The sequence below is a fragment of the Homo sapiens genome, chromosome 19 (assembly GCF_000001405.40).
Source record: "Homo sapiens chromosome 19, GRCh38.p14 Primary Assembly".
Lineage (NCBI taxonomy): Eukaryota > Metazoa > Chordata > Mammalia > Primates > Hominidae > Homo > Homo sapiens.
The window spans coordinates 32,740,563-32,761,147 of record NC_000019.10 but is presented as its reverse complement, the minus strand read 5'-3'; the positions used below and the strand labels follow the sequence as shown (position 1 = coordinate 32,761,147).

At 44.9% G+C, this 20,585-nt stretch overlaps 1 protein-coding gene across 11 annotated transcripts in view, besides 1 other annotated feature; it reads right to left on the bottom strand.

Moving 5' to 3' along the window:
• TDRD12 (tudor domain containing 12) overlaps positions 1-20,585 on the bottom strand; it is a 109,814-nt gene that overhangs the window by 68,433 nt on the left and 20,796 nt on the right. For 8 of the 11 annotated variants that reach the window (NM_001437947.1, XM_011527473.4, XM_011527475.3 and 5 more), the window contains exons 4-8: positions 18,248-18,367; positions 12,617-12,672; positions 11,279-11,364; positions 4,967-5,156; positions 4,018-4,110 (exon numbers count right to left, since the gene is read on the bottom strand). In NM_001437947.1, the coding sequence (NP_001424876.1) occupies positions 4,018-4,110; positions 4,967-5,156; positions 11,279-11,364; positions 12,617-12,672; positions 18,248-18,367 (545 nt within the window). The remainder of the gene's footprint in view (positions 1-4,017; positions 4,111-4,966; positions 5,157-11,278; positions 11,365-12,616; positions 12,673-18,247; positions 18,368-20,585) is intronic. The other 3 variants (XM_011527474.4, NM_001438800.1, NM_001438801.1) reach the window with 1 other exon arrangement.
• Positions 12,596-12,675: an enhancer, noted in NCBI's record as "active region_14433". NCBI's record gives its function as "activates an Ori minimal core promoter by ATAC-STARR-seq in GM12878 lymphoblastoid cells {active_cell/tissue: GM12878}" and the evidence as "EXISTENCE:reporter gene assay evidence [ECO:0000049][PMID:35858748]".

The window sequence follows — 20,585 nt, the reverse complement described above, 5'->3', positions numbered from 1 at the left end:
GAGACTCCGTCTCAAAAACTAAACAAAACAAAAACAAGAAACGTCTTCTCTAAATGCAACAAGTGATGCTGAACGACGTCTCTTTGATAACCAGCAAAACCTGAATGGTGCCTGGGAGTTATATGATCACAATATATCAGTGTTAATCTTCACACTCTGATGATTGCATTGTGGATATTTTTGAGAATGTCCTTCTTTCTAGGAAAAACTCAAGTATTGGGGAATCAGGTTAGCAACTTATTCTCAAATGGTTTGGGAAAAAAGTTCTTTGTAATACTCTCCAACTTTTCTGTAAGTTTGTGATTATTGTAAAATAAAAAATTTATTGAGAAGATGGATGTAAACTCTATGGAAGCACAGACTTTGTTTCCCTCCTAAGAATCCCTAGAAAAGCACCTGACAGTGAGGGCGTCATAAATATCTGATGAATGAATGAATGTGGGTTAGGGGCACGAGAGTGAATCTCCCTAGAAATCAAGACAATGTCTAAAGTGAAGAAGCCTAGTAATAGTAAAATATACACAATTATTTTAAAATCTGGAGATAATACCAAAATAAACAACTTTAAAAAGTGAGTTTATCTCTAGGGGACATCCTGGGGTAAGAAGAGGTTGCAAATAAAAAAATTATTTTTCACTGTAGCCCTTCTGTAATATGTGATTGTTTAATCAAGTATTAGCAAATCAAGTATTAGCCAAGTATTATACTTTGATTCTCAAAAATATTAGGCAACTTCAAAGAGAAACACCAAAAACTAACTGAAATATAACTGAAGTACCTTCTCACAATAATTAAAGGAAAGGGAAATCTATACTTAGAAAAGTAACATCTAATAATTCTGCTTTTTACATGCCAATTCAGTTACACCTCACATTATCTTTTTTGTTATTGTTCACCATAACCTTTTCCTTTTCAAAGATAAGCATAGTTCATTCCAGTACTGATTGTAATAAGCAGGAAACAATTTCTGCCCAGCAAGCTGGGACTCCTGAAAATAATTTTGACATATCAAGCAATGGAAAGCCACGCAATAATTAAACACGATGATGTAGTGCCTGGTATTTTTATTCCTCCAATGGAAAAAGAATATAAATGGAAAGAATACATGCCCATCAACAACAGGTGCTACCTTCTGCTGTAATTCTCACCTGGGGACCCCCTACAAGAGGCATATCAGAATCTGGGGCAGGGGCCACATGCGCTGAGGCTGCCACAGGCCAGGCGCTGAGCCAAGCACGCTGCACGATGGCCCATTCAGTAACTCCCAGGGGGATGGGGATGACATCCCATGTCCCAGAGAAGGAAGCGGCCTGACACCCTGGCAGTCTCACATCAGAGTTTATGTCCTTAAACACATTATACCGGATATATTTGACCTAGAAAGGGAATTCAGCCATATACTAAGTAAAATACATTACAAAGAGGTATGTATAGTAGGACCCCATTTCTGTGAAATAAAAATTTTATAAATACCGTCTGGAAAACTTTGGAAAGAAAGGCTCTATAATATTTTATTTTATTGTGTTTATTTTTCAGCCGGAGTCTCACTCGCCCAGGCTGGAGTGCAGTGGCACAATCTTGGTTCACTGAAACCTCTGCCTCCTGGGTTCAAGTGATTCTCCTGCCGCAGCCTCCTTTGAGGCCAGGAGGTTGAGGCTGCAGTGAGCTGTGATCACACTACTGCAATCAAGCCTGGGCAACCGAGCAAGACCCCGTCTCAAAAAAAAAAAAAATTCCCAGACTGAGACATGCTAGAACTCCAGGGGCCTTCTAGTCTACCCCTACCTCCCCTCCGTGTACATATGGGCAGTTGCAGGCTCTTGGAAGGTCGAGGCTCCCACCAAGCCAGTGGTAGACCCAGGATTAGAACACATGTCTCCTGGCTTCTAGCCCCGAGCCTGTTCTCTCTACACTGTGTTGCCACCCTTACCTTCAATGCAAAAGAGTCTACAGGGTTCACTCCTCCTTTTTACATCCTAGTTTCTCATTTCATCATGCAGCAAATAAGTTCTTGAGTAGCTGGGACTACAGGCACACGCCACCATGCCTGGCTAATTTTTGTATTTTTAGTAGAGACGGGGTTTCACCATGTTGGCCAGGCTGGTCTCAAACTCCTGATCTCAGGTGATCCACCTGTGTCGGTCTCCCAAAGTGCTAGGATTACAGGCATGAGCCACCGTGCCCAGCCTACAATTTTATTTTATTTTGTTTTCTGAGACAGAGTCTCACTCTGTCATCCAGGCTGGAGTGCAATGACATAATCTTGGCTCACTGCAACCTCCACCTCCCAGTTCAAGCAATTCTCCTGCCTCAGCCTCCCGAGTAGCTGGGACTACAGGCATGTGCAACCACATCCAGCTAATTTTTGTAGTTTTAGCAGAGACGGGGTTTCACCATATTGGCCAGGCTGGTCTTGAACTGCCAGCATCAAGTGATCTGCCAGCCTTGACCTCCCAAGGTGCTGGGATTACAGGTGTGAGCCACTGCACCTGGCCCTGACTCTACAATTTTAAAAAGCAGTTAGTGAGATGACAGGTTTTTACAATCTGGGCTATTGATAGCAGCAAAAGGCAGTCAAATGCCTAGCGAGATGGGGTGGGTCCCTGGTGAAAACCAATTTTCAAGCAGAAACCAGTTTAAAGCCTAGCTACAAGTCTCGGGTAATACACAGACTGGATTGAGAAACTGTCTTTCCGTTTGGCATTTTTTCCTCTGATTGATGTCTACCTTTCACTTATTTCATATGCACCTACCCTTTCCTAGTTGGTTTTCTACACTGCTATACCCACCTTTGAGTGGTGTGTTTGCTTTAACCTTTTTTGCATACTCACTAACCAATCAGCAGGCACTCCCCATTCTGAGTCCATAAAAAGTGCCAGCCCGGACACACTGAGAGAGAAACCACCCATCCAAGAAGAATGAGGTTACACTGAGAGCTATTCCATCGCTCCATAAAATTCTTCTCTGCCCATCCTCACCCTTCTGTCAGCATAACCTTATTCTTCTTGGACACAGGACAAGAGCTTGGGAACTGCCAAATGCGGATACAATCTATAGCACAGATGGGCTGAGTGGGTAGGGAGCCTCCAGCGGCCAGGCCCAGGGCTGAGTGAGGCCCAGGTCGGGGACGGGGTGGGCACTGCCAGCCATGGAGGACCCTAGTTGGCAAAGTGGCTGAGAAAAACCCTTTGTATCTTTCTTTCTCTATGATAAGCAACATTACCAAAGTAATTGAAAATAATCTGAAGTACAGGAAATATTTTAGTTGGCTAAAGCTTTAATGTAGTTGTGGTTTACTATGGATACACATGAAATATTACACCCACAGGTATCAGTAAGTCCTCACTTGACTCATCAGTAGGTTCTTGGAAACCACAGATTTAAGGGAAACAAAGTACAGCAGCCCCTCAAATTAAGTTGCTTTGCTCAAGGTTGTTTCGTTATAACATTGTTTCACTTAAAGTCAGTTTCCAAGAACCTATCCAAGACATGAAGTGAGGCCTTCCTGGACACACATCCAGCATAAGAGGGAAATGGTGGAGGAACCACCACAGAGGGCGAGCCAGTCATCAAAGGGGCTGAAAAATTTCACCCTCACCCAGCAATTCCAATTCATTAAATATCTTGAAGACTGGAATTTAAAACTACGTATTTCTGCCCTCATAAGCATGTCTTCCCTATTTTTATGCATCCTGTTGCCTAAGTGAAAAATCAATAATAAATACATATGTACACTCTAGGGACAGACAGTGATTACTGGTCGATGGCTAGGCTGGAATAAATCAGTCCTGCACATGAACTGGTGCCTGTTATGTTCTTTACGTGACAGTAAAATTTCTAAGTATGAAATGCAGGACACATGAACTCTTTCAGGATCTACATCACAAATTGGTTACATTAAATTAAGAAAAGAGAAAGAATTACCATGGCCTTTCTAGACAACCTTTCTAATCTTTAAAAAGCTAAGAATATTTTTTTCATGCTGCCTATGAAATAAACCACATTAGCAGAACTCACCCTGTGCTGTGGCTGTTGGCCTGAGGTCACCGACAATACCCTTGCACCATGTATGTTGCAGAGATTGTGCCGGAAAATTTACACCATGTGAATCTGATAGAAAGAATAAATTTCAGAATTAAAGCATGAAATAAAGCCCAAAATAAAAATGTGAACTCGTTAGTACATTACTTCTGCTCTTGCTTTTGCTCTGAGGTTACAGGAAACCTGACTAGGGGACACAAGGTGAGGGGACTAAAAACTGGATGTGGACAGAAACATTGGAAATTATTTCCACAATCCGTGACTAGCTCTTATATTTTTATGCTAAGGGTTATTTGTGATAAATAGCTCTTTTTTTTAAAGGTGTCTAAAGTCTAAATATTCAAAATTTGTTTTCTTAGTATCTCTAAATTGCAAACATTTGGACTTCTAACAACATAACTCAATGTTAATAAGAAATTGAGGCCGGGCGCGGTGTCACGCCTGTAATCCCAGCACTTTGGGAGGCTGAGACAGGCGGATCATGAGGTCAGGAGATTGAGACCATCCTGGCTGACATGGTGAAACCCTGTCTCTACTAAAAATACAAAAAAATTAGCCAGGCATGGTGGCAGGTGCCTGTAGTCCCAGCTACTCGGGAGGCTGAGGCAGGAGAATGGTGTGAACCTGGGGGGAGGAGCTTGCAGTGAGCCGAGATCACACCACTGCACTCCAGCCTGGGTTACAGACCGAGACTCCGTCTCAAAAAAAAAACAGAAATCGAGGGCAGTTTTTTTCCTGGTCTCATAAACACAAACTGTAACACTTTAAGACCTTACAATGTGTCACAGCCTCATCAGGATTAAACTTTAAACAGAGTCCAAGTCTTTGTCTCCATGTGGGGAAAAGTCTGTACAACTTATATCTATACACTAAGATTATTAATAAAACAATGTAAGGGAAATTGATATGATGAGAATCTACTCACCTTCCATTCCTTGAACATCTTTTCCTTGCAAAAACATTGGCCAGAGTGTAAGTGCTGGATTGAGTTTATTGAAGGAGGGTGCTGATTTTATATTCAATCTTGGTTTTTCTAAATAATCAAGGTTTTTATTCTTTGTAGGTGACATATAACAAGCATAGTTCTTTGCAACAAGATCATCATTAACACAAACCTGTAAAATTTTAAACATTTCATGACTAATAAGACAAATATAGTCAAGCGATTTTAAAGGAAATATTCCAAACTTAACCCCAAAGTTCTACCTTCAGAGAAATTATTTTACAGAACATAATCTGAGAGAAACAGATTTGACTCCTGCTCTGGTAAACCAAATACTTCCCACCAATCCTGATGAGGAAAAACAGCAAGCATCTGTGTGAAACACATGAGATGTCTTCTTGGACATACGCACTGTAGCACTAAAACTACCTGGCCAGGCAAAAGCCTGGTGGGAGGACAGAGACAAAACACGAACCATCAAAGGAAAGACTGTTACATTGGATTTGCTCAAAATTTTAAATTTCTGTTCTTCAAGAGAATAAACAGATGAGGCAAAATTCTTTTAAAATCAAGTATCCGGATGACATGTATCCAGAATATATAAGGAACTCTCAAAACTCAATAAAACGAAATCAACACAATTAAAATATGGGCAAACAATCTGAATGTCTGCTTCATCAAAGTCTGAAGATTGCAAATAAGCATATAAAACCATCATTAGGGAAACGCAAATTTAAACCACAATGAGGTGCTACTGCACACTTAGCCGAATGTTTACACAAGTGACATGGAGGAACTAGAACTCTCATTGCTGATGGGAAGGTAAAATAGTCCACCACTTTGGAAAACAATATGGCAGCTTCTTAATACCTACAATATGATCCAAAAGTTTGACTCCTAGGTAATGCTCGAGAGAAATGAAAGCACAGATCCACAGGAAGACTTGTACATAAATATCTGTAAGGGGCCTATGGCCACAACCCAAATATCCATCAACGAGTTAATGGGTAAATACACTGTAGTATATCCACACAATGGAAGAGGACTTGGCAACAACAACAAACGTGGATGCATCTTAAAATAATTTTGCCAAATGAAAGAAGCCAGACCAAAAAAGAAAACACCTTGGGACACATCCTGTTGCCACCTTTGGGAGCTGGTAAAGGATTGCTGGCCCACATTTTTTCCTCCGGCAGTTATGATCTCATGCATGCATTATAAGCTCTCTCAGCTAAGCACGAACCTCCCTGCCTTCTGCACTTTACCACCTTAAAGTAAGACCAACATGGAGAAACCCCGTCTCTACTAAAAATACAAAATTAGCCCGGCGTGGTGGCGCATGCCTATAATCCCAGCTACTTGGGAAGGCTGAGGCTGGATAATTACTGGAACCCAGGAGGCAGAGGTTGCGGTGAGCCAAGATTGCGCCATTGCACTCTAGCCTGGGCAACAAGAGCGAAACTCCATCTCAAAAAAAAAAAAAAAAAAAAAAAAGATAGAGTCATTATCAACATACAACCTACATGGTTAGAAAGAGATCTACTTTTGAAAAGCAAGAAGAAAGCAAGTTTATAGAGAATTTATTTGAAAAAAAGATATTTTACAAGACTGGTCCTTACAGGATAGATCTCTCAGGTTTAAAAAAATGAAAAAAAACGACTGGTTCTGCAGCCAATATTTTGGCGGTTTTTTTTGTTTGTTTTTGAGACAGGGTCTTGCTCTGTCACCCAGACTGGAGTGCAGTGGTGTGATCTTGGCTCTCTGCCTCCCAGGCACAAGTGATCCTCCCACCTCAGCCTCCCAAGTAGCTAGGACTACAGGTGCAAGCCATCACACCTAGCTAATTTTTGTATTTTTTGTAGAGACAAGGTTTCACCATGTTGCCCAGGATGGTCTCAAACTCCGGAGCTCAAGCAATCCACCCACATCAGCCTCCCAAAGTGCTGGGATTAAACAGGTGTAAGTCACAGCCTTTGGCTGATTTTGGTATTTTTACTAAGTTATAAAATAAGTAATGAAAAGTCATAGGTAAAATGAACCAGGATGTGAGGAACATTTAGGGAACCCAACATGCAATATAAGCAGTAACAAATGAACCCCATTACAAAAGAATAACATAATCACACTGAAGAAGGTGCGAAAGAGAAAAAACAACCTAAGTAACTTTGGCAAACAGTATTTTGGCTGCATAATGTGAAGACTAAATACAAATTTTGTTTTCACAGGAGTGTGGGTTAGCAATCCTGAAATTACTTAATGTGAATACATGGATGAATCAAATACGTAGACTGCGGCCAACGAGAGTAGGTTTCTCACTGGTGGAGAAAGGCATTAAGAATAAGGGGCCAGCCGGGCGTGGTGGCTCACACCTGTAATCCCAACACTTTGGGAGGCCGAGACAGGTGGATCACGAAGTCAGGAGATCGAGACCATCCTGGCTAACACAGTGAAACCCTGTCTCTACTAAAAATACAAAAAAAAAAAAAAAAAAAATTAGCCAGGTGTGATGGCGGGCACCTGTAGTCCCAGCTACTCAGGAGGCTGAGGCAGGAGAATGGTGTGAACCCAGGAGGTGGAGCTTGCAGTGAGCAGAGATCGCGCCAGTGTACTCCAGCCTGGGTGACAGCAAGACTCCGTTTCAGGAAAAAAAAAAGAATAAGAGGCCAGGCATGGTGGTATGCGCTTATAGTCCCAACTACTTGAGAGGGTGAGGCTGGAGGATCACTTGAGCCCAGGAGTTCAAGGCCAGCCTGAACAACATAGCAAGACCCTGTCTCCAAAAAATAAATGAATAAATAAGGAAAGGAGAGGGTAAGAATGAACCCTATGGTGCTGGATTCAAATCAGAGATATCAAAGCTCTTAATATGTGTACAGATGGATACAGAAATATAGATTTGTGTGTGCATGGGAGCAAGTACATACATATATTTCCTAATATTTTCTGCTGAGAGGACCTACAATCATGACACCCCAGTTGGAACAAGCACACCAAGTGCCCTCATCTAGATATTTAAATATCATTCTTCAATAAAAGGAACCAGAGCTGCTTGAAGAAGTGGCTGATTCCAGTGGCCGGGCGCGGTGGCTCACGCCTGTAATCCCAGCACTTTGGGAGGCCAAGGTGGGAGGATCACGAGGTCAGGAGATCGAGACCATCCTGGCTAGCACAGTGAAACCCCGTCTCTATTAAATATACAAAAAATTAGCCAGGCGTGGTGGCGGGTGCCTGTAGTCCCAGCTACTCGGGAGGTTGAGGCAGGAGAATGGCATGAACCCAGGAGGTGGAGCTTGCAGTGAGCCGAGATCGCGCCAGTGCACTCCAGCCTGAGCGACAGAGTGAGACTCCATCTCAAAAAAAAAAAAAAAAAAAAGGAAGAAGTGGCTGATTCTAGGGCTAGGTCTGGCAAATAACAAAATGATAAACATTGTGGCATCAGAGAGTAAAGAGTGTTCAAGTAATGATGGGGCACATTGAAAGTATACAAAAGCCCCTTTGAAGGAGCACCTAATGGCCAGAATCCAAGGTAATGTGAGCAAGGCAATAATGATAGTTATAGATTATAACTCCCCAAATAAAATACATTTCCAAAAGTCCATACTAATACAAATTATCGAATAATTAATATATGGGGGAGGAGGGAGGGTTCTTTGGTATAAAATTCCAATTAAAAATGCAGAAGGGGGCCAGGCACGGTGGCTCACGCCTGTAATCCCAGCACTTTGGGAGGCCAAGACGGGTGGATCACCTAAGGTCAGGAGTTTGAAACCAGCCTGGCCAACATGGTGAAACCCCATCTCTACTAAAAATACAAAAAATTAGCCGGTGTGGTGGCAGGCACCTGTTATCCCAGCTACTCAGGGGGCTGAGGCAGAAGAATCACTTGAACCTGGGAGGCGGAGGTTGCAGTGAGCCAAGATCGCACCATTGAGATCCAGCCTGGGCAACAAGAATGAAACTCTGTCTAAAAAAAGAAAAAATGAAGAAGGGGGCTGGGTGTGATGGCTAATGCCTGTAATCCCAGCACTTTGGGAGGCTGAGACAGGCAGATCACTTGAGGTCAGGAGTCCGAGACCAGCTTGGCCAACTTGGTAAAACCCCGTTTCTACTTAACATATAAAAATTAGCTGCGTGTGATGATGCTTGCCTGTAATCCTAGCTGCTCAGGAGGCTGAGGCAGGAGAATCACTTGAACCCGGGAAGAAGAGGTTGCAGTGAGCTGAGATTGCGCCACTGCACTCCAGCCTGGGCAACAGAGTGAGACTCCATCTCAAAAAAATAAATAAATAAATAATAAAAATTAAAAATGCAGAAGGTGCTGGGTGTGGTGGCTCACACCTGTGATACCAGCACTTTGGGAGGACAAGGCGAGAAGACTGCCTGTTGAGACCAGCCTGGGCAACATAATGAGATCGCAACTCATGGGCATGGTGGTGCCCACCTATAGTCTCAGCTACTTGTGAAGTTGAGGTGGGAGGATCCTTTGAGCCCAGGAGGTTGAGGCTGCAGCAAGCTACAATTGTGCCGCTGTACTCCAACCTAGGAGACAGAGAGAGACGGATGGGAGGGGAAGGGAGGGAGGGGAAGGAAGGAGAGGGGAAGGGAAGGGAGAGGAGAGGAGAGGAGAAAAATGTAGAGGGAAAGATGAAACAGGTATACACCACAGTAATATCTTTCACAGCCAAGAATCATTGATGAAATGGCTATCTGCAGCCTCAAAGTAGGCCCCCACAAGATACTTATTAATTTCAGAAGGAAAAACTAACATCTCTGTACAGGAAAAACCTGGCAAACACCACATTAACCAGGTGATCAACATCCACATCACAAAATGTGGTACATACACACCATGGAATACCATGCAGTCATAAAAAGGAACAAGATTGTGTCCTTTGCAGGGACATGGATGAAGCTAGAAGCCATTATCCTCAGCAAACTAATGCAGGAACTGAAAAACAAACACTGCATGTTCTCGCTTATAAGTGGCAGCTAAATGATGAGAACACATGGACACTGGGGGAAACAACACACACTGGGGCCTGTCGGGGGGTGGGGAGGGGGGAGGGAGAGCATCAGGAAGAATAGCTAATGGGTTTTGGGCTTAATACCTAGGTCACGGGATGATCTGGCCAGCAAACTACCATGGAACATGTTTACCTATGTAACAAACCTGCACATCCTGCACAGGTACCCCAAACTTAGAAGCTGAAGGAAAAAAACCATTCACATCACTAGTAATTAGACATACTGACGTCATAAACCCCTGCTGGGATGCACTGAGAAGGGCACAGTATCACTTCTGTGGGCTTCTTGCCAAAAATGCATAGCCTTAATACAATGATGAGGAACATCAGGCAAACCAAATTGAGGAACATTCTACAAAACCACTGACCACTGCTCTTCCAAAGCAGTCAATGCCATGAGAGGCATGGAAGTACTGAGGAGCTGTCACAGGCCAGAGGAGGGGAAGGAGACATGACAAACAGGCGCAGTGGGAGGTGCTGGAGCAGATCCTACATCAGAAAAAGGAAATCAGCCGGGAAACTGTCAACATTCACCTGCCTGCAGGTTTTCAGTGGTATTTTATCAATGTTACTTTTCTGGTTTTAAAAACTGTACTGTGGTTTTGTGCTATGTTAACATCAGGACAACCTGGGCAAAGCATATCCCAAAATTTCTGCACTATTTCTGCATCTCTTCTGTAAGTCTATTTCAAAATACAATTTTTAAAAAATCCATGGTTAAGGTACCCTCCATGGGCTCTGAGCAGCCCTGGATGTGTGCCCCTTCTGTCCACCTCTGCCTGGTGCTGAGGTGTGCCCTGAGCCATCCTTCAGAAAGGGCAGAGGCCAAAATGCTAGCAGCTGGCACCTGGCAGAGGTAGGGGCCACTCACATATGATGTCCGCTTTCTTTCTGCTTGTGATCTGAATTATTTACAGCAAGCACGTTACATACAGTGAGAAAGTCTAGGGGGAAAGGCAGTGAACTAACGCTACAGCAAATTAGTATATTTATAAAAATCATGTTCCCTGAGAAGAAAACAACATTTCATGCTCATCACTATAGGAATAATTTCTTGACCATGTTTAAATAAAATGCCAAAGTCATTTTTTAAAGTAATCAAAAGAAGAAAACACAGACCTGGCTAACTTCGGGTCTAAGATAGACCTTAAGAGATTAAGACAATTTCTATGCTGTACGAACTACAGTGTTTTTCTTGGCATTTATTCTGTTTTATTAAAGTAAAATTTAAAATGATGAAATATTATAAAAATACAATTCTTTCACTTACTTTTTCATCTTTTATAGTTACATAAAGGTAAACCTCAAATGTATCTTCTTCCACAGCACATAATCTGGCTTCCACCTGGGTAGTTGCTAAATAGCATAAATGAAAACACAAATCAGCTGATGTTAAAAGTATATTTGAAACAATCATGACGATTTCCCACCTAGTAACCTCTGCTAACCACTTAAGAGTGCCCAAATGTCTTCCTCGGGCAGGACCAGGGGGAGCATGTTAGGAAAAGGCACTCCTGATTGTGGAGTGGATTATGGGTCCTGTCCCTGTCAACAGGTTCCTGTGCCACCCTGTGGTCCTCTCTTCTCCATGCCTCCCAAACCCAGATTTCCAGTCCCAGGCCTTCATCTGAGGTCCATTCTACCCTGCAAAGCCCCACGGAGTGCAGCACCCGGCTACTCCCTTAGAGACTCAAAACCCCGCAGCAGCAGCATCACTGCCACCTACCAGGTGCTGTGCTAAGTCCTTTAGAAACCTTCTTTCGCTGAGTTCTTACCACTACCTTCAAGGTTAAGTACAGTGGTCATGTCACAGGTGAGGAGACCAGGCTCAGAGGCTAAGTCACTTGCCTGAGCCACTGAGGACTAAGTGGCCGGCCTCCTCCAGACCCGCATTCTCATCTCCCAGCAGCCCCCATGGCTCACAGGGGCCAAAACTCCAGTCACAGTGACCTCCCAGCCTCCCACTGCTCCCAGGTCAAAGGGTCTGGCTCCTCCTCTACCCAGATGATGACACAGCACAGGAGTGGGGCCAGGACCCAACGAGGCACCAGGCAGCACCCCAGGTGTTTCCCATCCACCAACCCTATCACTAAAACCAGGTATCTGACTGCCAGAGGTTAAGACAGATCCCACAAAAGACACTGTTTATAGTCACTGATATAAAATAAAAAGAACAGCTGAAGACATTTTATGCATCTTAAATTAGAAGTAATGAATATTACACAATAAATATCCATTTACTATCTCTTGCTCACTAAAAATGCTAGGTTTTTCATCAATTGCTGGTACAATAAAATCCACATGAATTTATTTTGCAGCGCCGCAGCTTTTATGCAAACGAAGAGGCAGGTATTATTACTGTGTAAGGGTTCCCCTGCACAAACAGCCCCCTGCTGATCTCAGCTGTCAATTACTGACATCCACTGCCACTAGGGGTGCAGAGTTACTGTGGCACTTGAGCTGGAGGAAGCCCCAGGTAGCTTAGGGAACTCCTCTGAGGAGGGCCGTTTGGCCAACAGGGGCATCTCCAACCCCCGCCAGCAGCAGAAGCTGAGGCCTCTGTGGGTGTCACTTCCAGGCAGGCTGCAGTGATCAGGCACTGGCTTACCTTTCAGAAGGTTCTGAAAGTACTGAATAGCTGCATTGTCCCACTTCTTGGCAGGTCTGGAACAGTGAACAGATGCAACTCCATTACATAAAAATCTGAGGCTAGCACACCAACAGCATTTTGTAAACCATGCACTGGACATTTCTCACACTACATATGGAACACGTGATGCAGATGATGGGGCACCTGGCACTGGCCCTGCTCTGGGGGTGAGGATCCCACTGCATCCTGCAACACGCTCGTCTCAACACTGTCACCTGCACCGGTGCAGACTCATAGCACAGAGGCCCCACTGAGACCAACCTGTGCTCACCACTGCACTGTCTGTCACACCACCACCATCCCCAGACAAATCAGTCTCCTCAACCAGAACACAAGCTCCTGGGACAGGGATCCTGAGTGTGGGGTGTCTAACACAGTCTGGCACAGAGAGGGCGCGACACATGCTGGTACACCGACACCCTCACAGGCAGTCATGGGAGAGCCAGATACTATCTTTGTTTCATTTTGTTTTTTTGAGACAGGGTCTCTCTCTGTTATCCAGGCTGGAGTGCAGTGGCATGAACACAGCTCATTGCAGCCTTGAACTCCTGGGCTCAAGGGATCCTCTCATCTCAGCCTCCTGAGTAGCTAGGACTACAGGTGTGCCCCACCACACTCAGCGATTAAAAAAAATTTTTTTTTTAATAGAGAGAGGGTCTAGCTATGTTGCTCAGGCTGGTCTCAAACTCCTGGGCTCAAGTGATTCTCCTGCCTTGGCCTCCCAAAGTGCTGGGATTACAGGCGTGAGCTAACGCACTGGGTCTCGGCTACTATAAAACTACTGTTCCTCACTCTGCTGACCCTAGCGCCCTCTCACTGGCTCCCATTTTACCCCTGTCATCTTGTCCTTTCTACATCTTTCTTATGCTTTGCAAAGAAAATTGTAGGAAAAGCTGTAGGCAGTGGGGAAAGAGGAGAAACTTGGAAGCAAGGAAAAAAATAAAATGTCAGGTCAGAATGATGTTCTATGTTTCTTCTGATTTTATGTACCAGAGATGCCACCACCATCCTCCAAGAATTCTTTTAAAGATCAAATGAGATAATGTACATAGAACACTTAGCCCAGTGCCTGGACATAATCATTACTCAAAAATGTTGGTTATTTTTATTCTTATAAGAAAGATATTAAACAATTCAAGAGAATTACAAAGGATTTCTAAAAGGCAGTAAAGGCAGTGGTTCTAAAACCTTGTTACACACAAAGAATTACCTAATAATTAGCTTTTTTAAAAAAGAAAAATGTAGTAGATTACTAATAATGAAAAGGCAAACAACCCAAGAGAAAACCCAATCTAACATATGAACAAGTAAATCAGCCAGTCTCTCCCTCTCTCACACAGAATAACCACATGAGTCAGTCTCTCTCCCCCTCTCTCACACACACAGAATAACCCCATCAGCCAGTCACTCTCCCTCTCTCACACACACAGAATAACCACCTCAGCCAGTCTCTCCCCTCCTCTCTCACAGAATAACCACCTCAGCCAGTCTCTCCCCTCCTCTCTCTCACAGAATAACCACCTCAGCCAGTCTCTCCCCCTCTCTCTCTCTCACAGAATAGCCACATCAGCCAGTCTCTCCCTCTCTCTCTCTCTCTCTCACACACACACACACAGAATAACCACATCAGCCAGTCTCTCTCCTTCTCTCACACACACAGGATAACCACATCAGCCAGTCTCTCTCCCCGTCTCTCTCACACACAGAATAACCACATCAGCCAGTCTCTCTCCCCGTCTCTCTCACACACAGAATAACCACATCAGCCAGTCTCTCTCCCCCTCTCTGTCACACACAGAATAACCACATCAGCCAGTCTCTCTCCCCCTCTGTCACACACAGAATAACCACATCAGCCAGACTCTCTCTCTCACACACACAGAATAACCACATCAGCCAGACTCTCTCTCTCTCACACACACAGAATAACCACATCAGCCAGTCTCTCTCCCCGTCTCTGTCACACACAGAATAACCACATCAGCCAGTCTCTCTCCCCCTCTCTGTCACACACAGAATAACCACATCAGCCAGTCTCTCTCCCCCTCTCTGTCACACACAGAATAACCACATCAGCCAGTCTCTCTCCCCCTCTCTGTCACACACAGAATAACCACATCAGCCAGTCTCTCTCCCCCTCTCTGTCACACACAGAATAACCACATCAGCCAGTCTCTCTCCCCCTCTGTCACACACAGAATAACCACATCAGCCAGACTCTCTCTCTCTCACACACACAGAATAACCACATCAGCCAGACTCTCTCTCTCTCTCACACACAGAATAACCACATCAGCCAGTCTCCCCGTCTCTCTCACACACAGAATAACCACTTCAGCCAGTCTCTCTCCCCGTCTCTCTCACACAGAATAACCACATCAGCCAGTCTCTCTCCCCCTCTGTCACACACAGAATAACCACATCAGCCAGACTCTCTCTCTCACACACACAGAATAACCACATCAGCCAGTCTCTCTCCTTCTCTCTCTCACACACACACACACACAGAATGACCACATCAGCCAGTCTCTCTCTCTCTCACACACACACACAGAATAACCACATCAGCCAGTCTCTCTCCCACTCTCTGTCACACACAGAATAACCACATCAGCCAGACTCTCTCTCTCACACACACAGAATAACCACATCAGCCAGTCTCTCTCCTTCTCTCTCACACACACACACACACACACACAGAATGACATCAGCCAGTCTCTCTCTCTCACACACACACAGAATAACCACATCAGCCAGTCTCTCTCCCACTCTCTGTCACACACAGAATAACCACATCAGCCAGTCTCTCCCTCTCTCTCACACACACAGAATAACCACATCAGCCATTCTCTCTCTCTCCCTCTTTCACACATACACAATAATCACATGAATACATGTGACAGCTTTGCAAGTCAGAAAAATAAAAATACCATTTTTACTGAGCAAACAAGCAGAAATTAGAAAGTCTAACGATATTCAATATTGTGTGGGAATAACAGTGCTTTCCATACCCCAATGATGGCAGTATAAATTGCTAGTCTTTTTGAAGGGGAATTTGACAAAATCTGTAAAACTGTAATACACACGTTAAAAGGGTGTTCTGCATAAAACACAAACACAAAGGCATCAGATGTCAAAGAAGGTGACCAAACCCCAGTAGGCCCTTCCCTGGGGGCATCCTAGGTTGGGTGGGGAAGGGCCCGGAAGCCCACATTTGTTCTGGGAAGAGCCCATGCAGAGAAGGTCAAGAAAGACAGGACCAACTGCCTCTGAGGGGAGCTGGGTTGCACACACAGGGGCCCCAATCATGCCTGAAGGGTGGGCAGTGGGCCGCTCTGAAAGAGGGCAGTACAGGGGGCAGGGGCTGCTGTGTGCAGCAAATCCCACTCCCAGAGCCTTCGGTGAGTAGTGGGGGGGGCTGGCTGGAGGGCGGCCTGGTAGGGCGCATTGGCCTCAGCAGGGACTTATCCTCACATCAGTGTAGATGCCACGCCAGCCGCAAGAGTGATGCACTCACCACCACAAGGAAACTGTGGGGGCTGGGGTGAGTGGAGAATGGGAAGGTCACCAAACAGCCCATGAAGGCAGCTTCTGAGTTCAGAGTACACAGTGCAACATGGCATGCCAGTGGAGTCAGAACTGGACTGCTCCCTGTGGCTTTTCCTTCCATAATGCCATCGTCCCGGGAAGGGAGAAGAGGAGGAGCACCGGGTGGGAGGATGGGGCTGATGTCTCTACAGACCACAGGAGGCAGAAGTCAGGCCACTCGGTAGTGCTCATTCAAGACAGCAGACATGGCGCCCGCACCCGAGAGGGAACTGCCCAGGGCAGGGATCTGTCCTGTACAAACACTAGCGATGCAGTCAAACACTAGAAAAAGGGAGCAAAGATGGGGTGCGGGGCACACGTATATATATATGCCTCTACGTCTGTGTATTTTATACAGATTTATCTATATTCTTTTGTTTTTTTTTTTTTTTTTTTTTTTTTGAGACGGAGTCTCACTCTGTCACCCAGGTTGGAGTGCAGTGGCGCAATCTTGGCTCACTGCAACCTCCACCTCCTGGGTTCAAGCGATTCTCTTGCCTCAGTCTCCCGAGTAGCTGGGATTACAGGCGCGTACCACTGCGCCTGGCTAATTTTTGTGTTTTTAGTAGAGATGGGTTTCACCATGTTGGCCAGGCTGGTCTCGAACTCCTGACCTCAAGTGATCCGCCTGCCTCAGCCTCCCAAAGTGCTGGGCTTACAGGCATGAGCCACCAGGCCCGGTCAGATTCATCCATATACTTACGGGACTGTACTGTGCAAATGGTTTGGAAACAACCTAGTGGCTACACAGAGGGGAATGATTAAATACAGCAAGTATGTCAATCACATCCACCCACGAAAAAGACTAAAAGTAGAAAGAAGAGATACGTATGTTGACAAAGAGTTTCAACATACTTTTTTTTTTTTTTTTTTGAGATGGAGTTTCACTCTTGTTGCCCAGGCTGGAGTGCAGTGGTGCGATTTCGGCTCACTGAAACCTCTGCCTCCCGGGTTCAAGCAATTCTCCTGCCTCAGCCTCCTGAGTAGCTGGGATTACAGATGCCTACCACCACGCCAGGCTAATTTTGTATTTTTAGTAGAGACAGGGTTTTGCCATGTTGGTCAGGCTGGTCTTGAACTCCTGACCTCAGGTGATTCCCATGCCTTGGCCTCCCAAAGTGCTGGAATTACAGGTGTAAGCCACCGCGCCTGGCCTCAACACATATTCTTAAGTTAATTCTGCAAATAGGACAGTATGTTCTAATTTTCGTTAAAAGCTCCACATAGATAAGTGTGTGTAAAAGCACTGACAAAGGCCTGCAAGTTCAGAGCTGGAAAAGATCACAGAGGCCTCCCAGGAGGAAAGATGTGGGCCTGGAGAAAATTGCAATGGACTCTTTTATAATGCTCCATGGGCCCAGCACAGTGGTTCATGCCTGGAATCCCAGCACTTTGGGAGGCCAAGGTGAGAGGATCGCTTAAGCCCAGAAGTTTGAAACTAGCCTGGGCAAGATAGTGAGACCCTATCTCAAAAAAAGAAAGCAAGAAGGGAGCAGGGGAGGAGAGCGGAGGGGCGGTGGGGAGAGGGAGTGGGGGAGGGGAGGGGAGGGGAGTTAGCTGGGTATGGTGGCATGTGCCTGTAGTCCCAGCTATTTGGGAGGCTGAGGTAGGAGGATTGCTGGAACCCAGGAGGGTGAAGCTGCAATGAGCCATGATCATGCAACTGCACTACAGCCCGGGCAAAAGGGTGAGACCGTGCGCGCGTGCGCGTGTACACATGTATAATACTCCATGATCCTATGTTTTATGAATATTTTTCTTTACAGTTAATTTATTACTTTTTGTAAGTTTGAAACAAAGGCAAGAAGCACAGAGCTCAGGCCCTGCTCCAAACCCCCTCAACCACAGCCAGGTCAGACAAACACTGACTCAGAAGCCCCTCCTGAAGAACAGAGACCTCCTGCTCAGCACTTCTACAGAGGAACTGACTTCATACAAAGATCGTGCACTTGATAGAAGGCTTTTACTAATGATTCGAAGGACTTAAGAAACTGTACTTACACAATGTCAGTACTGTCTCGGCAGAAGTCAATGTGTAATGTGACAGGCTTTGTGCAGTACAGGCTGAATTTTTTTGCTCTATAGGGAAGCTGCATAAACGATTCTACTACAACTCGGATGCTAAAAAGTAAAACAGAAACAGCTCCATTATATAGAAAATTATATATAACATACTCCGTTAAAGTATACCTATTTTATTAATACACTTAATGTAAAACAAAACACACAAAAAACAATTCTTTCTGTTTCTAATATGGCCACCAACAGTGCTTGGAGACATTTGGCCAAGAGGGAAAAACTGCTTCTTGGGAGGTTGAAAAAAAATCGTACTCTTTTGATACATAAAGCACGGATATGGCACATAGATAGTGTATCAGTGAAATTGACATTTCATGACCTAGGGGTAGGAGTTTAGGAAAACAATGTCTAAGAAGCCTCCTGGCCAGGTGTGGTGGTTCACACCTGTAATCCCAGCACTTTGGAAGGCCGAGTTAGGCAGATCACCTGAGGTCAGGAATTCAAGATCAGCCTGGCCAACATGGTGAAACCCTGTCTCTTATACTAAAACTACAAAAAATTAGGTGGGCGTGGTGGTGCACTCCTATAATCCCAGCTACTCAGGAGGCTGAGGCAGGAGAATTGCTTGAACCTGGGAGGCAGAGGTTGCAGTGAGCTGAAATTGTGCCACTGCACTCCAGCTTGGGCAACAAGAGCAAAACTCTGTCTCAAAAAAAAAAAAAAGTCTAATAAGGCTCCTTAGGTGGACAAATACTGGATACTAATGAACATACCTGTAAAGCAAATTCTATTCAAGATTTTCTAAATATCAATCTCAATATATGACCAAAATTACCTTAAAAGTTTCTGTAAATGAACAGATGGTTTAATAATTAGTATTTGCCAACTTTGCACAAAAGAGCTGCAGGACTGAGATTTTTAAATAATAAGTTTGGCAATTTAATTTCCATTCTTCTTTGGCAAACGACAGAGCACTTTATTTTTACATTTTTTTCTTTGTAGGGTCCAGGTCTCACTATGCTACCCAGGCTGGTCTTGAACTCCTGGCCTCAAGCGATCCTCCTGCCTTGGCCTTCCAAAGTGCTGGGATTACAGGCGTGAGCCACCACCCCTGGCCGAAAAACCACTTCCACGTACTATTTCCACATGAACTGGCTTTCTTTCCAGGGTTCCTATTATGCCTTGTCTGGGCAGCCTGGCCATCTTCTGTCTCAGACAGGTTAGGGAAAGGTGGCTGCACCCATGGCCCCCTGAAGTCTCCTGAAGCTCTATTTAATCATACGATTTTCTCACCCAAAACAAACTAAATGTAAAACATCAAACGCAAAAACAAAAGCTCCCCAAACAGTTAAACACAATAATTGTTTTTGCAGCGATTACGGTTGTATGCAATGCAGGATCACAAGCTCGAATGGCACCTACTCTTACAGTAAGTACTGCAAATTCCCAATGTCTGATAAACACGTATGCCATGAAATTCTTCTATTCAATAGACACCTCTTGGCTGGCGCAGTGGCTCACGCCTGTAATCCCAGCACTTTGGGAAGCCGAGGCGGGTGGATCACCTGAGGTCAAGAGTTCAAGACCAGCCTGGCCAACATGGCAAAACCCTGTCTCTACTAAAAATACAAAAATTAGCTGGACGTGGTGGCACACGCCTGTAGTCCCAACTACTCGGGAGACTGAGGCAGGAGAATCGCTTGAACTGGGAGGCAGAGATTGCAGTGAGCCAAGATCACGCCACTGCATTCCAGCCTGGGAGACAGAGTGAGACACTGTCTCAAAAAAACAAAACAAAACAAAATAGACACCTCTTATCACAATCAAGTCTATTTGGTATTGCTCTTTCTTCAGTGAAATCAGAATCCTCATATTTATTAAACTGACATCCTCTTACCCTGGGACGGGAAACTATGGAAAAGTCATCACAAAACACCAAGACTGACTTGTTGCTGGTGTATTCTAACGAACACAATCACGTGTGGTCCCAGAAGCAGTGAAGACTGCACAGCACCATCTTGGCAACAGCTCATTCTGAGCCATCTCCCAACCTCATTGATGGTCACACCCTCCCTCATTTAAGCAGGACAACCAGGGATACCTACATGAGTACAAGCTCTGCTCTGTGCACCCTGAGACTATGCCAGCAACCCCCCTTCTGTGGAGAGAGGCGTTTCTCTCTACCTCCTGGAAGTGTCTTTCTTGCAGCCAAGCCTCCCTAAAGGGCACAAGGAAACTGAGGACAGGCAGGAGAGCAGCCGGCAAGGAGCACCCAGAAGAGGCAGAGAGCAGTCAGAAGATGCAGAGAACGCAGGAGATG